Source organism: Homo sapiens, chromosome 8 (assembly GCF_000001405.40).
Source record: "Homo sapiens chromosome 8, GRCh38.p14 Primary Assembly".
Lineage (NCBI taxonomy): Eukaryota > Metazoa > Chordata > Mammalia > Primates > Hominidae > Homo > Homo sapiens.
The window spans coordinates 2,868,802-2,890,957 of NC_000008.11; the positions used below are offsets into that span (position 1 = coordinate 2,868,802).

General features: G+C 41.1%; 1 long non-coding RNA gene across 5 annotated transcripts in view, besides 3 other annotated features; it reads left to right on the forward strand.

Annotated features, from left to right (window-relative positions):
- Window positions 1–22,156, forward strand: part of LOC105377785 (uncharacterized) — a 297,276-nt gene that overhangs the window by 141,846 nt on the left and 133,274 nt on the right. The gene's annotated exons all lie outside the window — the stretch shown is intronic.
- Window positions 8,444–9,643: an enhancer, noted in NCBI's record as "CDK7 strongly-dependent group 2 enhancer chr8:2734767-2735966 (GRCh37/hg19 assembly coordinates)". NCBI's record gives its function as "activates an origin of replication core promoter dependent on BRD2, BRD4, P300/CBP, MED14 and CDK7 cofactors, with strong dependence on CDK7, by STARR-seq in HCT116 cells {active_cell/tissue: HCT116}" and the evidence as "EXISTENCE:reporter gene assay evidence [ECO:0000049][PMID:35650434]".
- Window positions 16,886–17,180: a silencer, noted in NCBI's record as "tiled region #746; K562 Repressive non-DNase unmatched - State 5:Enh". NCBI's record gives its function as "represses a minimal TATA promoter and a strong SV40 promoter by Sharpr-MPRA in K562 cells {active_cell/tissue: K562}" and the evidence as "EXISTENCE:reporter gene assay evidence [ECO:0000049][PMID:27701403]".
- Window positions 17,488–18,270: an enhancer, noted in NCBI's record as "H3K27ac-H3K4me1 hESC enhancer chr8:2743811-2744593 (GRCh37/hg19 assembly coordinates)". NCBI's record gives its function as "activates a minimal SCP1, AML or CMV promoter by ChIP-STARR-seq in naive H9 embryonic stem cells {active_cell/tissue: H9 hESC(naive)}" and the evidence as "EXISTENCE:reporter gene assay evidence [ECO:0000049][PMID:30033119]".

Below are 22,156 nucleotides of genomic sequence, written 5' to 3' on the forward strand. Positions count from 1 at the left end.
GTCTCAGGATTCATGACTTTTTCTTTGGGGAGGTGTAACAAGGGAAATGCCCCAAACATAGAATGTTCAGGACCCATGTCACAGGAGAAATGTCCACTGTAAGGATTCGCATGAATTACTGTATCTTCCTGGGGTCCATCCAATGTGTCCATCAATACGAGGAAAGAAGGCCATTTCACTGGGCATGGAGGAAGGTTGACAGACCGTGCATTGACAAATACCAAGTACTTGTTCTCTCTCTCTCTCGCTCGCTCGCTCTCTCTCTCGTGTGTGTATTAATATATATATACACACACACACATATATGGGGTTGGGGGGTCAGGCAGACTATGTTTTGGGCTGAAAACCCCAGGATATTTAATGTGTGCTTCTCTTTGCTTAAGTTCAGCAAAGAGCTTATCTATCTATCTATCTAGCTATCTATCTCTATATATACATAGATTTATCTATCTATATCTATCTGTGTATCTATCTAGCAATAGGTAGCAAAGAATTTATATATCTATATATCTATCAATAGATATATGTATCTAGATACATATATCTATATGTATCTACATCAATAGATATAGATACATATATCTATATGTATCTACATCAATAGATATAGATACATATATCTATTGATAGATAGCAAAGAGCTTATATATGTATATATCGATATACACACACGTATATAATGTATATACGTATATATTTGTGCTAAATTATTAAACATGGATGTACTTTATAAATTAATTAGCTCTTATAGACACTTGCTACTTTCCTCTTTCCCAAATTGGTGTTTTCTTCTTTCTATTTATCTTCATTTCCTCTAGTGTCCAGCTGAAACTGTAATTCTTCCTCTCACCCCACCCCATGTCTTATGTAGAGGGTTTCCAAATCCTATCAAACTTCCTTTCCAAGTGTCTTTGAAGCCCAACTCTTCTTTTCATTTCGATATCACTATCTTAGCTGGCCCCTCATCACCTCAAGTGCAGATTATTTCAAAAGCCACTAAATAATATGAAGGCTTCCAGCTTAATTTTTCTGTCTTTTCATTATAATTGCTCTTGGGTGTATATTTAATGTCTTGTAAAGTCAGAAAGAGAGTTACCCTAACATGAGAATATTTTCATAATGTTGACTTCTTAATAAATAAATAAATAAATGTGATTTTCCATTTTCTAAATGAGAAACTTCTCGGTTTTTAGCAATTTTTATAATCTAGTTTTAATCTGCCTTTCCAAATATATCACTTTTTCCATCACCACTAATTGTCTCTTATCCAACCAAACTGCGCTTTTTGTTTTCAAAATCACGACCCGTTCCTATTGTAAGCCCATGATCACCAAAATGTAAGCTCCTCCCACCTGGAATGTATTCCTTGCTTTTCCTTCTACCTAAAACCATAGAAATGATTACTATTTCTCAGAATCCTTTTCCGACACCCCAGTGGTGTTATGTGTGCAGCATGTCAACTCATGGTCCTAATTATCTGTGCTATTCGTTCTGCTAGCACCTGCAGCATTGCTCATCGCCTCCTTCATGTATGCACACCGTACTACCTCAAGTACATTCTTATCTCTTATTGAACAGGGCGTAAAACTTCTTTCAAAATTCTAAAAATCATGTATCATAGAAATCAAGAGACTCTATCAAAAACAAGTTTTTACAACTTCATTTCACGAATTTCTTTATTCTCCACTCAACGTCAAAGCTGAAAAGTGACAAACAGTGCTTTATGCACACAAAGTTCATGAGTAGTGCACTAAATTTCAAAGGGCAAATATCAACATTAATCTGACAAGCTAAAATACCTCATAAAAATAAATGAAGTAAATAATAATGGAATCTAAAATGCGTGAGCAATCTCAAGATGAAAAATGGCCCAGCATAAACTATTATTTTAGGATCCTGAATAGCTTATTGTACATTTATTTTTAGTATTAAAGTTGTGACCAAAAACTTTTTTATGATATTGCTATCAGGGAATTAATAACATATAACATAGACACTAAATATTTCTTACATGCTTCGTCTGCATTTAAATTTTGTTCTGAGGAAAGTGATTTGATCCATCATCTGTCAAAATTGACAGGGGAGACCCATGTTTAATTTTTTGAATGTCTTCCTTTATCCTATTAGTTACTACATAAATGCATGTTGGGTAATACAGTGACTATCAGACCTTCAGCTAATTCAGGCATGAAGTCCCAACTGTCCCTGGGAAAACAGAACTAAAAATGGAGGCATCACTCCTAAGTGAGCAGTGAAGCTTAAGCAAAGACAAGAAGGATACATAACTGTGTATGAGAGTTGGCTAATGGCATCAGAAGACTGAGATAACACTGAAGCAGACTTTGTACCCAGATGTCTAATCAGCTGGGTGGGTGACATTGATGGGCATTCCAAAGGTCCAGTCTCAGAATCAGGGATGTAGCAGACACAGGCTCCCACAGGAGGCATTTGGCCCTGGAATGACAGACTCAACACAATAGAAAGGAGACAGAGCTCTGAACCTGGAAGGGAGGCTACAGTTCCATGCAGGCAGGTCATTAGAGCTAAAAAATGAAAAAAAATTCCTATCTACCACTAGCACACACTTGTTAGAAGCTACATAGGCATCAAAATCTCATTTAAGGATGAGAGATTGTTAATGCGGTTATCTCAAAAGTAATTCACAAAATACAAAGGAACCCAACAATTTTATAGGCACAAAAGTGTGTGGGTCACAAGAATATCTTGTTCAAAATGTCACCAGATGAAATGATGCAGATTTGTTTCTTTTAATAGTTTTAACTAGGGAATAACACAGTAAAATATATGAAGCGTACTTCTGTAAATCGTGCAGCTTGGATAAATTTGAGCACACATACACAGCTGTGAAAACACCACATGAATCAAAATACAGAACATGTCCAGCACTCTCAAGCTCCCTCTTGATTTCGTTTCTTCCAGTCACTGACTCTAGTCTCCATAGGAGTTAACCACTATTTCGACCTCTAACTCTCAGCAGATGGATTTTGCCTGCTCCTGACCTCATACAAATGGCTTTATACAATTGTTGCTCATTCATGGATGGCTTCTTTTGATCAGCATGATGTCTTAGAATTGTGTCCATCCATGGTTTAATCTTTCTTATTTATAATGTTCCATTGTTTATGAATAAACCACTTTATTTTTATTCTCCTTTTGATGGGGAAATTTTATTTCATTGTTTTTTTCCTTTGCTACGGCATTAGGGATTGAAGCCTCTGTGAGCCTTCTTATACGTGTCCTTTGCAGACTTTTACAGTTCTTTCTGCTGCATGCACACAGGAAGAGAGTCTCTGGAACATTGGATAAACCCACTTTCAACGTAATGCCTACCGCCTAAAGGGCTCGGGCACACCAGCTTCTGCCCTTATCTGCAAACTATCAGAGCTGCAGATCCTCCACACTTTTCAATTCTTTGTATCGACAACTTTGCTTTGGTTGGATAGCTTGTTCCAAGTGTAGCCGTTCTCACGGATCTGTAAAGATAATGCATTCTGACATTAAAGTGCACGTCCTTTGTAAGTAACGCTGTTGAGCTCCTTTCAATGCTTGCTGGACACTTGGATATTATATTCTTCTTTGAATTATCTGGTCTGATGTTTTGTCCATTTTTTATATTTTTCAAATCTTTTTCTTATTGATTGGTAGAAATTATTTAAATATTCAGAATACAAGACTTCTGTCAGAAACGTTTGACGAAAGTCTTGCTTCTGTAAGGGATGCCTCCGAATGCTAGGCAATCCTTAGCTGGTAGCTGGGGGTCTGTGTTAACGAGGCCAAGCCACATCAATAAATTGCTCTAGGTTCAAAATTTCTTGGAAACAATGACTTGGATTCTAACTTAGTTGCCTCCTCTTCTTTTTTACTTCTGACCCAAGAAACAAATAGTATGAAGTGTGCATGCCCTGCCCTAAGGGACGAGGCGGATCTCCTCTTCATGTCCCTCAGCTCTCTCAGGTCGTGCCCGATGCTGGAAAATCCTGGCCACCATACGAAGGGAAGCAGAAGCCTGGTCAGGGGTCCCGTGTCATAACCACTGGGATCGGGGACACCAGTGCTCATCCTGTTACAGTGTAACTCATTTTCTTTTACACCATAGTCACATATTTTTGTGTCCCTTTCCTTCATGTGATAGCTTTGTTATGCCACATAAAATACAACTTCTGGGCTGGGTTTGGTGGCTCATGCCTGTAATCCCAGCACTTTGGGAGGCCGAGGTGGGGGGAATCACGAGGTCAGGAGTTCGAGACCAGCCTGACCAACATGGTGAAACCCCGTCTCTACTAAAAATACAAAAATTAGCCAGGTGTGGTGATGAGTGCCTGTAGTCCCAGCTACTCAGGAGGCTGAAGCAGAAGAATCACTTGAACCCAGGAGGCGGACGTTGCAGTGAGCCGACATCATGCCACTGCACTCCAGCCTGGAAGACAGAGTGAGACTCTGTCTAAAAAAAAAAGAAAGAAAGAAAATACAACTTCTGGGAGCTGAGGAAATACAAGGTGGAGGAGGAATGAGTCCTGGAGCGACACAGCCTTGCAAACCGTCTCTGATTGACATTCCGTAACTTTATCCTTTATATGACGTCAAGAGTAATGCTGAGAATAGAGTGCAATCCTCAACACAGTAGGCAGGGGCAGGGTCAATTATGCATTTATTTTTCACATTTGCAAAGATAATATTTGTATTATATAATTAATATTTACCAGAGTAATAATTATTATACTTTCAGGAGAAATAAAAACAGGATAACGATTTTCATACACTGATGACATTTCAGGACCAAAGCACTTTAGTCAAATTTGTTAGAGGGTCTTTGTATCTGAATCATAAATTCCATCACCAAAGGTAATCGTGGTCATAAAGGAGGGTCCCGCGTTCGAGCAAAACCGATGAAGTTTCTATTGATTTGAGATTATGCCTTACACTAAAAACCAATAGTAATTACATCAAATGAGCTAAATTAATGAAGTTAATATTTGCTGTTGGGAGATTGTTAGAACTCGACCAACCTAGCGAACATTCTAGCATTACTAACCACTGCCTGGCATAAGTAATTTCTAAAATTTCAAAGCCCACGTTAGTTAGTGAGGTGCAATTCTCAACGGCATTTTGACATTTTGGTTGTGTTCCAGAAACATGTGCATACATCGTGAGTGTGTGACTGAACAAAAACTATGGCTCTCCTCTTCATGTTATTTTCACAGTTGGTGTAGGTCACAGTAGATGAAAGTGACGGGAAGTCCATTTCTATGATTTTCTTCTCCAGGCTACGGCAGGCTTTATGGTGCTGTCTTTCTAGAGCCATAGCTCATATATTCTCTTTGGCCTGGGAGGGTTTCATTCAGATGAACATGTGGTAGGATGTTGGCCTTGTGGGACGAAGCCCCCAAAATCAATAGATGAGGTACCTGGATCTGGCCCTGCCATGTTCTACCATTGTGATTTTGAGAGCCTGTCAACCTCTCCCAGACCCATTTTCCTCATTTGTAAAATGAAATGAATAGATTTTGGTGGTTTTGAGACTTTTGGACTATGGAAGGCTTTCTTCAGAAAAGAAAAAGAAATAACACATTTCCCAAAGCCCAACATATACACCAAATCCCAGTGTGCCTGCCACTCCCCTTGGCTGGATGCTGGAGGCCTGTTCTCCACGTCTCTCTCCCCTTCACTCTGTAGTTGCTCTTGGGACACAGTTGTAAAACCCACACAAGGTTTCTTGGAAAGACCTGAACTAAACAGTTTCTAAGATTTCTTCTTTGGCCAGGCACAGTGGCTCACGCCTCTAATCCCAGCATTTTATAAGGCTGAGACGGGAAGATCACGTGAGGTCAGGAGTTCAATACAGCCTGGCCAATGTGGTGAAACCCTGTCTCTACTAAAAATATAAAAATTAGCTACGCATGGTGGTACATGCCTGTAATCCCAGATTACTCAGAACACTGAGGCAGGAGAATAGCTTGATCCCGGAGGTGGAGGTTGCAGTGAGCCGAGATTGTGCCACTGCACTCCAGCCTGGGCAACAGAGTGAGACTCCCTCTCTAAAAAAAAAAAAAAAAGACTTCTTCTTCCTCTGACTTTCTTGATGGACACTTTTCTCACATGGGATCCACTAATGTCACCACCAGGGGATGGCAGGAAAGGTGGGACAGAAGACCCAAGGGCCAAGGCAGAAGCAAGCAGAAGAGAGTTTCACCCTCAGGATCGCAGTCAGGAATCACACCACGCAACATCGCACCCAGCCAGGGAGATGCTGGCTGAGTAAAGGCACATTTAAAGTCCACAGACTCCACACTCAGGGGCCAGGCCATACGCGCCAGGAGCTCATGGTGCTTGGAGAGCCTGAGAGCCATGCACCATGGGAAGCATGGAAAGGATGGAGAGGACAGTGATGGGGCAGCCGCTCAGGGTTCCACGGGCCTTCCATTTATTGTTCTTTGCCATCCTCACAATGGGCTTCCTCCTCCTGGTCCAAGATGCCCTTTGAACATCCTCTTTGCAGCTGTCAGTTAGAAATAAGGGACAAAGGGTCCATTCCTGCTTCTTGCGACACAGTGGAAACCATTTTCATGCACATACAGACTGTTCAGAAAGTGGCCCTGCAGCTCCTCTCCACTGCAACTGACTTTGGCAAAAGAATCCTAGTTCACACAGTCATGTGCTCAGCCACAGACCGTGGCTCTGATCCAGGAGAGAGAGGAGAATAAATGACTAGCACTAACCGTGATCTCTGAGAAGAATCTGATTTTCCTTAAGGGCAGTTGGAATAACACTCACCTGATCACGGACCTAGTTTGAGCCTGGACAGGGTGTCCTAGTCCTCTCTGTGCTCACTTTTTATCCTATCACCTGTTTATAAGGAACGAAAGAACATGCCATGCCCAGTCCTGGCATCTGGGATTTTGGGACTCTAGGATGTAAGCTTTGGAGGGCTTTTGGTTACTCACTCATTATCATTTTGTATATTAATGAAATTGTGGCTTCATTTTATCATCAGAAACCTGACTCTGTTATTACATAAGATACTCTCTTTTACCTGTGTTGGGCTAGGCAGTCTGATATTCAGAGCAATTCAACCAATAAGATCTTTGATAACTCAGTTTCCCTATTTTTTCAATGATGAGAACAATCACAGCCTAATACCAGACAGGTGTGCTGAGGCTGGAACTAGAATGGGAATTGTCCCAGAAGAAGGCTCTCACAAGAATCCAAGAAAGGATGAAAGGAGAAGGAGTTGGAGGAGGAGGGGAAGAAGAGGAGAGAATGTTTCAAATCAATCAAAGTCATCTGTGTGTAACCATTGCAAGAATTCAATCGCACTGAGAAAAAATTATTAACACAGAAAACTATCTTTTCTTGGACTGATTTCCAGTTGATAACTCTGGGCCAGCATCTTTCATGGAACACTTTTCCTCTTCAGAAACCACCATAAATGTGGCTAAGGGCATTTGTATAGACACCTTCTTAATATTAAAAACGTGGGAGGAAGAGACGAGTTACGATTATTGCAAAGAAACCAATCCATCTGGATTTAATGTAACAGTTGTAAGCTTTCAGTCTGCACCTATGATTTTAAGTAGAAAAGAGAAAATTGGAAAGCAAACTGGAAAACCACCAAAATTTAGTATAAATTTAAAATCAGAGCAGTAAATTTTCAAAGGCTGTGTGAACAGTTCACCCTTCTGGTTGTCTTTTCTTCATGTCTTTAAGCCAGCACATTACTTCAGTTAGTTCTAGCATCCGTTTAGTGCCAAGCTTGCAAAGGGAAGGAGGAATTAATTTTATTCAGAAAATGGTGCCTGTGATTAACTGAATGGTTTAGGAACTAACCAATTTTACAAATACACACTGCAGCTTTGTATGTATGTGTGTATACAAATTTAAGCTTTAATCCATTTTATGTGAAATTTTAAACATGGCTTTGAAATATAATTTTATTCCAGTGTTTAAATACAACAAATTCGACAAATGTGCATGGAGCCTGGCCAGAAGACAGAGACGCAGCAGTGAGTCGGGCAGGTGCAGCCTGGCCATGATGAATCACATTCTATGGGGCAGGGAGCAGATAATTAAACAAATAGTTACACACCAGTTGTTCAGTTACTATGTAACCCTTGTGAACACATTCCAAGCCACGTGTGTTATATGTGTCACGTCTAGGCCTCATGATGCAGGAGGCTGTGCTATCCACCACTACCCCTGCTTTACCGATAAAGTAGGAGACACTGAAGGCACATGCCCCGGTACTGTCAGAGGCAAGATTGTTACTGAGCAGGGAGGGACTCCCTCCCAGCCTTTTCCAATTTTACTGGAAATTTGTCTTCAGATTTTTTTTTCTATTCCCAGACCAATATATATTTTACAATTACATAAATAATATCAAACATATTTTTTCTAAGCAATTTTTGTGGTAGTATAGAGTATGGAACCAATTTTGCTAAATGCACAAGCGTTTTGAAAACAAACTCTTGCTGAATGGGGTCTGGTTAGAAAACAGACTTCCAATACTTGTTTGATTCAAGATTCCAGCACTCTGTGTGTGTGTGTGTGTGTTTGTGTGTGTGCGCACCGCAGTACTCAACTGTCTGCATAAAAAAAGATCTATGTGTTTATCATTGTATTCTGCTGAACAAAAAAAAATGGATAAAAATGCATTAGTGGAAATCAATACCTTGTTGAGAAGCTTCAAGCACATGTCTCTGCCTCTTGACTGCAGGGGGCTGCACCCTCTTCCTGCCAACCATTTATAATCACATACGGATGCCAAAATTAGCAGCAGAGAAAGCAATTACTTTAAAGGCTTTGAGATTGGAAGTTAAAAAAAGATATATATTGTAAATCATTTTAATCCAACAGCAAGAAAATAGCAAGTTAAAGTTCATAAATAGGAGGTAGGCTAATGAGACAATATTTTAAACATTAACAGTGCCTTTGATCTATAGTGTGTTCAGTAGGAATTTGCTTTAGAGGACTGTATTAGACTGTTCTCAGGCTGCTAATAAAGACATACCCGAGACTGGGTAATTTATAAAGGAAAGAGGTTTAATGGACTCACAGTTCCACATGGCTGGGAGGCCTCACAATCATGGTGAAAGGTGAATGAACAGCAAACGCGTGGTGGCAGAGAAGAGAGCTTGTGCAGGGGAACTGCCCTTTATAAAACCATCGGATCTTGTGAGACTTACTCACTACCACAAAAACAGCACAAGAAAGACTCACCCCTATGATTCATTTCCTCCCACCAGGTCCCTCCCACAGCACATGGGAATTATGGGAGCTATTATTCAAGATGAGATTTGGGTGGGGACACAGCTGAACCATATCAAGGAAACAAATGGAATCTTCAATATTGACAAACTCCAAATGGAGTTGAGGACTTGAGTAGGAACAGGTTGGGTTAAGTGGACCAAGAAGAAAGTCATGATAGGTTGTTGATACTGATGGTGAGGGCAGGATATCTGCAGTCTATGTGGACAAGTGTTTTTTGCCAGCTTAAACCCAAAGGAGGGAGGAAATTAGCATGGTTTGAACACCTACCTGGCCAGCGGCTCTTTTCTGTAATCTCTGATAACTGATCTCCATGTAAATGAGGTTCAATATGAGATCTTTCTACTCGGTAGGTTTCCGTGTAATTTACAATATACGTGACTATTCATACATGAGTCAGCCCAACACAACAGATTCAATATTAATTGCAGAATGAAATCTTGGATTGTGTTATGAATAGACATAATGGAGATCACTGGGACATACAGTTAATGTAAAAGGGATGTAGATGATAAGGATGATTTTTTTTTTTTTGAAACAGAGTATAGCTCTTGTAGCCCAGGCTGGAGTGCAGTGGCGCGATCTCGGCAGCTCACTACAACCTGTGCCTCCCAGGTTCCAGTGATTCTCCTGCCTCAGCCTCTTGAGTAGCTAGGATTACAGGTGCCCGCCACCAAGCCCGGCTAATTTTTGTACTTTTAGTAGAGACGGAGTTTCACCATTTTGGCCAGGCTCGTCTCAAACTCCTGACCTCAGGTGATCCGCCCGCCTTGGCCTCCCAAAGTGCTGGGATTACAGGCGTGAGCCACTGCACCCGGCTGATAAGGATGATTTTACCCCCACAGATTAGAAAGAAAAATCATCAGCTGAAAGAGTGAACAGCTTCTCTGTAGGTAAATCAAGATGAGTGTTGAGTATATGCAAGTGGGTAGATTTGTGTGTGTGTCTATATGTTTGTGAATATGTGTGTTAGTGTGTTTTTGAGGAGGGGGCAGATATAAGAGAGGGAAGACAAGAAAATTAATGAATCATAGCCCCTCCCGTATAAAAGACAATCTCAATACTTAGTATCTAAGCTCACAAAGGCTCTTGGTAGAAACTCGTTCCAGACTCCTGCTGAAAGCCAGCTCTAGCTAGTTGAATACCTAAATGTAAATAACAAAGGCAGTAAAAATATCAAAGCATGCCCAAATGCTGGAAATAAAAAGTATTTAAAGAAAGGAAACGTAAGACATTGAACGGTAAGACTTTAAAACCACCAAGGAAAGAAATGAGATGCAGCAGATTTATGGAATAATCTTTATTTAAAACATTGCATTATGTTGGAAAACAGGAAAAATTGGCTGTCTTTTTTTAAAGCAAGAGGAGTTCGTGTGCATATCTATTTATCGTTTTTTTCCAACATCCAGCATATTTCTTATGCTTATTCCAAAAATATATTGTATCTACTTATGGTAGCTCTTAACAAACTGCTGAGTTTCAGTGAGAAGAAACCTTGTTTGCAGTGGACTGTGGCATACAGAATTTTTTCTCACATTTTTTTTCTGTTTACTGTTGTTGTTTTTTATTTTTATTTTACTTTATTTTATTTTTGAGACGGAGTCTTGCTGTCACCCAGGCTGGAATGCAGTGGCTCAATCTCAGCTCACTGCAACCTCCGCCTCCCAGCTTCAAGTGATTCTCCTGCCTCAGCTTCCCAGGTAGCTGGGATTACAGGTACATACCACCATGGCTGGATAATTTTTGTATAGTAGAGATGGGGGTTTCACCATATTGTCAAGCCTGGTCTCAAAATTCTGACCTGAGGTGATCTGCCTGCCTAGGCCTCCCAGAGTGCTGGGATTACAGGTGTGAGTCACCATGCCCAGCCACTTTTCTGTTTTTTGAATTAGATCCCTACGGAAGAGACAAAGGGAATAGCATGGGCTAGGTCTGGCCAATCATAATAACGTACCTCATGGTTACATCATGGCTCTGACATTGGGCACGTACTCCAGGCAGGGCCATATATCTGAAATTAATATATAGACACTGGGGAAAAGAAAACTATTTCCTCCGAGATCCTGACCCAGGATGACATGGATCTAGATCCATCTCTCTTTGGCTACAAGGTGAAAATTGATGTGATTCCAGAGAGAGTAAGTTCAACACACACAAATTAAGAGAATCCAGAAATGAAGAGAAAGAAAGAAGAGAAACACAGAGAGAGAGAGGAAGATGGGCACTGAGATTATCATGCAATGTCCTTGACCAAACAAAGTCTGCATCGTGAAGCCAATAAGTTCCATTTTTGTTTTAGCTTGTTTCAAGCATATTTCTGTTGTTTACTGTCCCACAAGTTACTGGGATATAATTCTCCATGGGTTTCTTGTAGTCTGCACCTGTGAGGTACGGATAGCTCATAATTCTGGGTTATCTTTTCAATCATGTTCGTGTCATAAACGTGCTTAGAAGACAGAGAGAGTATCTTCCTTCAGATACACTTAATGTCCAGTATAATAAAGATAGTGTCTTGCTCAGGAGCAAAAGGCAGGCATGCTCACTGCCCGTTATAAATGATTCGAGTTTTCTAAGTTCAGGATTTCTCTCCTGCAATGCAAACTTCTGTGGGTACAGGTGTGATCTGGTTCATTTTCTGTCTCTCTGCAGGAATTGGGGCTCAGGGAAACCACACTAAACCGTGGATACTCCACTAAGTTTAATTGCTCTGAATAACACAGTGTTCTTGTCTCTGACCAAGAGTTTCGTGTCTCCTCCCAGCACCCATGAAACTATGACAAGATAACTTGTCTTGTGAGCTTGCAGTTCTTGACACTAATATGTTCCTCTAGGTAGAAAGTAGAATCTTAGAGTGGAGAGAAAAGAACCCCACACAATTTGGAAACGTGAAATCAATGTGTATATAGCTGTAAATTTAGGGAAAAAATATTTTTTTCAATATAAATAAACTTTTTATTGTCTGCTAGATAAAGATAAAGTAAAAATCTTGGCACATAGTTTCAGGGAAAATATATAATGACTCAATATTTAGGCCATGGTACATATAATTTAAAGAGACTGTGTCATTATATAGGGTAAAACACATTTTTTTTTAAAGTTTACCTAAAGAAGGTGAGTTTTAAAATATTTGAGATATAGACAGTTGAGTTTTCCAGAAAGGAAATTTGGAAATGATAGATCAGTTAGTAATTAGAATGTCATGTTCCTTGAGCAACTTTAATAGATAAATTTGGTTAAAATGTCTTTGATTCATCCAACTTATATTACAAATTCCAATCATGTATGGAACAAACATTAATTACACTGAACCAGTGTATCCAGGACTTCTTTAGACAAAAAGCAGACTGGTGAAAAGCCAGACAATATTCCTACCCTATATGTGCTGGTAAATGTTTAACAACTGGCTCTCTCAGAGAAAATGTATGGCTAAATAACATTTCCATTGATTTTTTTCCAAAATTGTGCATCTGTAGTCAACCTGGGGTTGCAGTTGGCAAAGGCATATAGGATTGTAATTTCTATGCAATGCTGACTGATACTGTCAGGTATGTTAAAGAATAAAATAGAACTGTGGCTGGGCACGGTGGCTCATGCCTATAATCCCAGCACTTTGGGAGGCCGAGGTGGGCAGATGACTTGAGGTCAGGAGTTTGACACCAGCCTGGCCAACATGGTGAAACCCCATCACTAACTAAAAATACAAAAAAATTAGCAAGGTGTGGTGGCGTGTGCCTGTAGTCCCAGGTACTCAGGAGGCTGAGGTGGAAGGATCACTTGGACCCAAGAGGCGGAGGTTGCAGTGAGCCGAGATTGTGTGACTGCATTCCAGCCTGGGCAACAGAGTGAGACTCCATCGAAAGAAAGACAGACGAAAGAAAGAGAAAGAGAGAAAAAGAGAAAGAAAGAAAAAAGGAAGGAAGGAAGGAGAGGGAGAGAAAGAAAGAAAGAGAGAAAGAAAGAGGGAAATAAAGAAACAAAGAAAGAAAAAGGAAGGAAGAAAGGAAAGAGAAAGAAAGAGAGAAAAGAAAGAAAGAGAAAGAAACAGGGAGGGAGGGAGGGAGGGAGGGAGGAAGGAAGGAAAGAAGGAGGGAAGGGAAGGGAAGGAATGATGACTTACAATACAACTTTGTCAATGACATAACCCGTCTTCATTCTACAGGATGTCGTGGCTGGTTTTGAGTAGATTAAGGGGTACTCAGATCGTTCATTCTGCAGGATGTGGTGGCTGGTTTTGATGGGATTAAGGGGTACTCAGATCGTTCATTCTGCAGGATGTGGTGGCTGGTTTTGATGGGATTAAGGGGTACTCAGATCGTTCATTCTGCAGGATGTGGTGGCTGGTTTTGATGGGATTAAGGGGTACTCAGATCGTTCATTCTGCAGGATGCGGTGGCTGGTTTTGATGGGATTAAGGGGTACTCAGATCGTTCATTCTGCAGGATGTGGTGGCTGGTTTTGATGGGATTAAGGGGTACTCAGATCGTTCATTCTGCATGATGTGATGGCTGGTTTTGATGGGATTAAGAGGTACTCAGATGGCTGGTAGAGCTCATCTCAGTGGTTCAGTAATTACTGAGCCCATCCTCCTTCTGCTGAGTGGGAGCCCAGGTGGTTTGGCATTTGGTTAGAATGGTTGGGTTGCCCTAGGTCTGTTTGTCTGCAGATGTTTCCAGAAGAGACTGGCCTGTGAGTGGGTGGGCTGAGAAGGGAAGACCCACCCTCCGTGTGAAAAGGCACCATCCAATCAGCTGGGGTCCAGATGAAACAAAAAGAGTAGAGGGACAGAAAATTGTTCTCTCTTCTGGAGTAAGGGCAGCCCTCGGGCATCGGAACTTCAAGTCCTGTGACCTTTGGAATTCAGAACTTACATGAGAGGCCTTGCAGACTCCCAGGACTTTGACCCGAACTGAGAGTTATCACCTTGGTTTCCTTGGTGCTGAGGCCTTTGGACTTGAACCGAGCCATACCAGCAGCTTCCCTGGGTTTACGCCTTGCAGACGGCCTGTCCTGGGACTTCTCACCCTCCATAATCGAGTCAGCCAATCCTCGAATCAATCCCTGCCCATCTCTCTCTGTTGCTCTCCGTCTCTCTGCAGAACCCTGATTAAAGCTAATGATGTTTGAACACTGGAAAAACATTGCTTCCATTTTTTAAATATTTTTCACAATGTACACACTATAAACGTGACATATTTTAAATCTATTTAACATTTTTTCATGACTCTTCTAATTCTAGTCAAACAACAAAACAATAAAGCCCTGACTGTGGTATTTGCTGATTTCTGTCATTTCCGTGCTGTTGATCTTCACGCCATGGCCAGGGTCAAGCCATGCACGTGACTTCACTGACCGCAAAACTGGGAAGAGGCTGTGCAGAAGGAAGAGCCTTGCACGGTGCTTCCTTCCATCCGACAGATGCCGTCGGCATCAATGGGCTCAAACACATCGATGATAGCAACGTAATCAGGAAGACATGAATTCTGAGTACTTGTTTTATTTGTTTTTCATATAGTTTATGTAGTTTTTCATTTATATAATTTTTTTTCTTTTTCTTTTTCTGTCTTTCTTTTTTTTTTTTTTTTTTTTTTTTTGAGACGCAGTTTCACTCTTGTTGCCCAGGCTGGACTGCCATGGTGCGTTCTCGGCTCACTGCAACCTCCGCCTCCCGGGTTCAAGTGTTTCTCCTACCTCTGCCTCCAGAGTAGCTGGGATTACAGGCGCATGCCACCACGCCCGGCTAATTTTTGTGATATAATTTTTAATGATGATTGTGCTTAACAACTGTTTCACAAAATTCCTGCAAATCAGTCAGCTCTTTCTGTTTGAGAGAGTAAACTTGAGCCTGGTCCAGTGCATCCTGGCCCCAAGCCCCAGGAGCTCAGATTCTCTTGGGAAGACATAGGAATAGAAAATAAACACATGCGTTTTTTAAATAAGAAAAGTTTATTTTCACATTTGACATAAAGAAAATTGGCTGGGATAATAGATGCCTCTTTACATCTGATGATGAGACAAAAAAAAGCCACCTAACAAGAGGGTATTTAGTCCTATACCTTGTGAGTGAGAAGTTTGTCCACCTCCAAGGGAAGCTCCGTTACAAGGTGTCTGAGAAGTCATAAGAAGTGGGAAGTTGCCAGATATCTTTTTATGTGTTTGAATACTCAAAACAAATGGCTGTGCTGAAGATTCACGAGCACTGTATGGGATAGGAAACGGGAGAAAGGCAAGTGGTGGGGTGGAGGGTCACTCAGAACCAAGCCATCAAAATGACAACAAAAGCCAAATCATATTTAGAGTTCTCTAAGCTCAAGTTCCTGCTTCAGTTGGTTTGGAAGCATTAAGTCATTCATTCCTTACAAGAATCTTATGGAATTGTACTATTGCTAACCCAATTACATAATCAAAAAATGGGGCAGAATGTTGTCAACTCTGAGGCTATGGCAGCCCTGCTGCCTGGCTAGGTTTGTCTCTTTGTCTGGGGTGTGTATTGAGCAAGGTAAAATGGTAAAGCTATGTTTTGTGGAACAGCAAACCAATCTTGAAGGATTAGATGTGGAGGGAGGGTTAAAGGAAGGCTAGCACAAAGTTTAAGCTAACAGCTGTAAAAACAAATACAAAGATCTCAACATCCATGATTTATATAGTTTCTTTACTTGCTGTGTGTTTGTGGTAGAGCAGGGGGTGTTAGTTTGGTAAAATTATTCCCTGAAACAAGTTAGATGGGGATCTCCCTTAGGTCAGTCATTTTTTAATTTAATTAATTTTATTTTATTTTATTTTGAGACAGAGTCTCGCTCTGTTGTCCAGGCTGGAGTGCAGTGGCACGATCTCGGCTCACTGCAAGCTCCGCCTCCCAGGTTCACACCATTCTCCTGCCTCAGCCTCCACAGTAACTGGGACTACAGGCACCTGCCACCGTGCCTAATTTTTTGTACTTTTAGTAGAGACGGGGTTTCACTGTGTTAGCCAGGATGTTCTCTATCTCCTGACCTTGTGATCCACCCGCCTTAGCCTCCCAAAGTGCTGGGATTACAGGTGTGAGTCACCACACTCAATCACCAGCAGGTCAATCATTTATTTGAAAAAACAAACAAACAAACAAACAAACAATTGTCCACCCACCCCGTCCTCCAAAAAAGAAAAATCCAAATCAAATGTGTAGGGAAACTATAAAGAGATATTTTTTTTTGCAGTTGAAATCCCTAGTAAATTTCCTTTTTAAAAAAAATTCATTGAAAGAAAGTGTGGACAATAATAAATCATTCAAAGCCAGACTGAACTGAATTAACCTTGTTCATAACCTTAGCCTCTCTTTAGCGATGTTAACTTTTTCATTCCTTTAGCGAAAGAAGGGAAGCCTTCAAGCAGATACGATCTTTTAGAAAAACTCATTGAAAAGTGAATTTATAACAAGGAAAATGCTTGGAAGTTTTCCGTTTGAAGATGCTCTTTATTTCTGGCGTGCAGTTTTTATGAGACGAATGGTCTTAAAAGGTTAAATCCAGCCAACGACAGTTACTTTAATCTGCAAATCAGATCAGTAAATTGGGTTTCTTCTCTTTGCCTTATCTTTCAACGGAATTTGTGTTAAAAAATGAACCATCTGTTACCATTTGCTTTGTTAGAGGGAGTTTAACATATAAAAGGGATTGCAGTTATAAGATATAAAAGAAACCAACTGGATCCTACTGACTGCTGGGCCACACCGGGCTGGTGAGGGCTCCATCCTGATCTTATCTGGGGAACGCATTCCTGAGCCATAGCCTCAATGAGGACTGCTAGGTCCCTCTCTAGGAAACTGGGCCTCCCTCCTGTCGCAGACAGGAGAGGTATAAAGAAACGTTTTGGAATCAGTTAACCTTTGTTTGGAAGCCTCCTGCGCTACATTTCAGATGTGTGACTTTGCAACTTATTTTTCCTTCCTGCCATTTGGTTTGCTTTTGTGTTAAGCGGAGACGTAACATTCACCGTCATGGCATTGTGAGGACTCCGTGAGAAGGCTGGTGCAGTAATCAGCACACTCTGAGTCAGCAACAAAAGCACAGTCATCAGACAGTCATCCGCGATGGCAGCTTGTCAGCTGATCTAACACGGAGATCCGGGGGAAGACTCAGTTTTGAAATAGATGTGTTCAGAGGAGAAATGATGTTAACAGACATTTCTAGGGTTTGTGGGTTGTTTGTTTTCATTTAGTTTCATGAGAAAGATATATTAACAATCACGTCCATTTAATTGTTGATCCTTATGGTTTGACTTTTTTTTTAAATAATGTTTCTTCCACAAAATAGTCTTCGTCATTTAGTTGGTTTGCTTTGTTTCTTGACCTCCTGAGATCAAGGCCTCTCTAACTCCGATGTGTCCCTGCCTCAGCTGGACAGCTTGTTACAGGGCAGCTCAGGCCAGGTGAGGTGGAAGGGGACGCCTGAGCATCTGCGTTCCTAGCCATCTCCCAGCTGACGACCCTGCAGCCCGGCGGGACCTGTCCTCCTGCACATAGACTCCCATGTCTAAGAAGGTCAGGAAAGAGTATTTCTGGCAGGGCGCGATGGCTCACGTCTGTAATCCTAGCACTTTGGGAAGCCGAGACAGGCAGATCACTCAGGCCAGCCTGGCCAACATGGTGAAACCCCATCTCTACTAAAAATATAAAAATTAGCCAGGCATGGTGGCATGCGCCTGTAATCGCAGCTACTCGGGAGGCTGAGGTAGGAGAATTGCTTGAACCTGGCAGGCGGAGGTTGCAGTGAGCCAAGATCATGTCACTGCACTCCAGCCTGGGTGACAGAGCAAGACTCCATCTCAAAAAAAAAAAAAAAAAAAAAAAAAAGAGTATTTCCAGGTCATATTGAACTGTCAGTTTCCACCTGTTAAGTTTAGCCTGAAGCTGCCTTCTTACACATTTTAAGTTCGGCCTAAAGTTTCTCTTTCTCTGGCGTGGGTCAGAGGCAAGGCAGAGGAGAGTCATCGACCTCGGGTGTTCTGCAACTTTGCAATGCCCTTTTAGAGCACTGTCATGGAATCCTGAACATTCAGAGAAAGAGACTTGTGCGTTTTGTTTCATAGTTTCCCTCCTGACTTTAAATAGTCCGGAAACAACTCCACCCAGGATTAAAGTTTCTATCTCACTATCTTAAGCATTAGAATACATCGATTTGACTTTTATAGATCATTTTACCAATTATGCACATGATTTATTTAACAATGCTAAACACAGTATTATTTCACAGCTAAGGGCTTTTGTTTTTAGGAATCAAGTGAGAATCTCTGAAATAGAAAGTGAGATTTTCATCGAAAGTTTGGAACCTCATTGGAAACAGAGTCTTCCATAATCTGAGCAGGTAGTGTGATCTTTCACACATCATTCCTTCAAGGGCTCTGAGGCCACATCTTGGTGGGCTATTGTCTCAGAAAATTCATGCCCCTCTGCCGAGGCTGAGTCCACGTGGAGTTAAATGAAATGCAGTGTATGACTGTATCCTGTTAGGTAAAAATGACATGTCATAATCACAGCAAGCCTCGCAGGCCATGGTACTGCATGATGCCACCCGTCCAGAGGTGCGAATAGGCTTTCAGCATCGTGACGTCCTGGGTGGAACTTCCATTAAAGTTAGCATGATGAACAGAGCCCTGCGCAGCTCTAATTGGGGAGCTCACAATAGTGACTTTTGTGCTCATGTTTTCTCTAGAATATCCAATATGGACTCGCCAGAGAAATAACCGTATTCTTCCCCTGAAAGACGAACTTTAGTGGCAGACTTGGAGCTTAGGTGATAGTGCTAAATATTGTTTATACAATCAAAATTTACTCTTGTCTTTCCCCCAAATTCAGTTTCTGCTCATTACCTTTATCTTGCCTTAGAAATCTATTCTTAAAAGCAGTAACTATGCAAGTTACTAAAGATAATTCTGTCCCTCAAACTATATTGTGGACTTGCGAATCAAGGCAGAAGGTCAAAAATATTATACTACTATATATATATTTTTATTGCAGTAAGATTATTGTTATGGCCATATTGTTCGGATTGTTGCCTGTCCTAAAGAAAATAATACATTATAATGATAAATATATAAATATAATATAAATACGTACATACAGGTAGCGATTGCTAAATAGATATTTTGTACTATTTGCTGTAGTGAAGGGATCACAAAACAGAAGGAAGCCAATTTGTATGTTCTCCAATTCTAATGATGTGACTTTAGACATTTGAAAAATGCCTCTCTGGGCCTTATTTACCTTATCAATAAAGGGATTAGATTTGTTCACGTGAGAGTGTTGGAAAGCATTCTCTTTGAACACCAGCCCTATGGGGTATTCTCAACATAAAGAATGACATTGTCTTCTCCATTTGGGCATTGCTGCAAATTACATCCCCCGCATGGAAAGGTACACGCCTGTTGAGGCAGTGAAGACTCTTCTCCATTTGGGCATTGCTGGAAATTACATCCCCTGCATGGAAAGGTACATGCCTGTTGAGGCAGTGAAGACTCTTCTCCATTTGGGGATTGCTGGAAATTACATCCCCCGCATGGAAAGGTACACGCCTGTTGAGGCAGTGAAGACTCTTCTCCATTTGGGGATTGCTGCAAATTACATCCCCCGCATGGAAAGGTACACGCCTGTTGAGGCAGTGAAGACGCTGCAAATTCCTAAGGTTGAAAAAATCCAACCAATTTATTATTTTACTTTTTGTTTATGATTAAGAATTATTTCTAAGCAATAACTGTTACTTTTCTTCAGGAATGATTGTACAGCACTAGATTAGATGATTCCTACTCTCTTGAAACCCAGCACCTGGAAACAACCTCAAATCATACCCACTTCTGGGGACTTAAATATTATTTTCGTGGGTTAATAATTTTTTTAAAAAAAGTTGATTTTGGCCGGGTGCGGTGGCTCACGCCTGTAATCCCAGCACTTTGGGAGGCCGAGGCGGGCGGATCACGAGGTCAGGAGATCGAGACCATCCCGGCTAAAACGGTGAAACCCCGTCTCTACTAAAAATACAAAAAATTAGCCGGGCGTGGTGGCGGGCGCCTGTAGTCCCAGCTACTTGGGAGGCTGAGGCAGGAGAATGGCGTGAACCCGGGAGGCGGAGCTTGCAGTGAGCCGAGATCCCGCCACTGCACTCCAGCCTGGGCGACAGAGCGAGACTCCGTCTCAAAAAAAAAAAAAAAGTTGATTTTGCAGGATATATATTTTCTTATAAAAATGTATTAACACTAATTATAGAATATAATTGTATTTCACATATTGGATGTTCATTTTCTCCAGCTTTTGTCTTGTTTCTTAAGAACAAGAGAAATATAAAGAACATGCATACGTGTTTAAAACTTAACGAAGACCATGCACTCATACTAAAAGGCAATATTTTTGCCACTCTAAGGCATAGGCCAATTGGCTTAGAATTATATGTAAATTTAGACCCCTTGTTATACGTATAACCTGTATATATGTAATATATATATATACACACACACCTATATGTATACACACAGCACACACACTCTCACACACACATATATATGATGTGTAACCAAAGGGAAGGAGTTTCTTCTAGGAGAGCAGGTAATTAATTCAAAAAATAAAAGAGTATCTGTGTGCCAGGAACTGTGTAAAATGTTAAAAAAATGCAAACCCATGATCTTTCTCTCAAGAGCCCAATCAGATGCTTTAAAACAGTGTCTAGAAGGAGACTGGGGGAAAACAACTCCCTGAGAATTGACAACCGATGAGCCAAACAGCCAACAGGACCACAGGAAGCCCCTGAACTCTGAATGCAAGTCCAGCTGCCCCTCATGAGTCCACCCCACAATCTTGGCGAGTGGAAGTGAAAGTTATCCGCATTTTAACCACATTTCCATCTCAAGTTGTTGTTTTAAAAGATTTCAAAAATCCTTACGGAAAAGGGTCACATTCAATTTTCCAGATACTATCTAGATGCTGGGCCAATCGCAACAGCTGATGACGAACGCACGAGGCCCCAGTGGCAGGTGCTGTCCCCAGCAGCAGGCCCCGTGCACAACACTTGCCCTGCATCCCCACACAGTTCTGTGCTAGTTACTTCTTGCCAAAAGTGCCACATTCATGTTATTTTTGAAATGCTCTAAGTTTAGAATTTTAAGGGGAAAAGACCAGAATGCAGAATGAACACACTGCACTTGTTCATACCTCCATCCAATAGGAAGAAAAACCACCTTAAAGCAGATGGAAGAATTATTTTGTCCTGTTTTCGCTTCATTTTAGCTGTTTATCCTGATTATTTCCAGAGCATGATGATTAAATAATTCCTCTTTGTTCCCAATGGCGAAGGTGCTTTCTCAAATCCAGGAGAACATATCAATTTTGCTCACATCTGAAATTGCATTTAAAACGGTGAAATCAGGAAAAGAAATCCAAAACACACTTTTAATTATGATAAATCTACTCTACCAATTAAGAATTACATCTGGCAAATCATAATGGAAACCCCTGCTGAGTGGCTAAAACAAAATGATGGTTTATCATTTCAGTTTATTATACGAAGTTGAAAGGAGATAGTTCAAGACCATGGCCATCATGAAAGGCCTGTTTGATGACATGACATTTGAGCAAAACTTGAATGAGGTGAGCCAGCCATGTGGCTATGTAGGGGCAGGCTTTTTTGAGTGGATGGAACAGCAAAATAAACCTGAGGTCAGATCATATTTTGGGTTTTTGAGGAAGAGCAAGGAGGCAGGAGTGGAAAAGCAGAGGGAAGAATGACCGGGTTGCCCAGAAAAGTTGGGTTCAGAGAGAAAGTCGGGGGCAGATGATGTGATGTCTTGTAAGTCATGGAGATAGTCTTGGGTTTTACTCCAAATGTAATGGAAACTCATTTGAGAGTTTTGAACA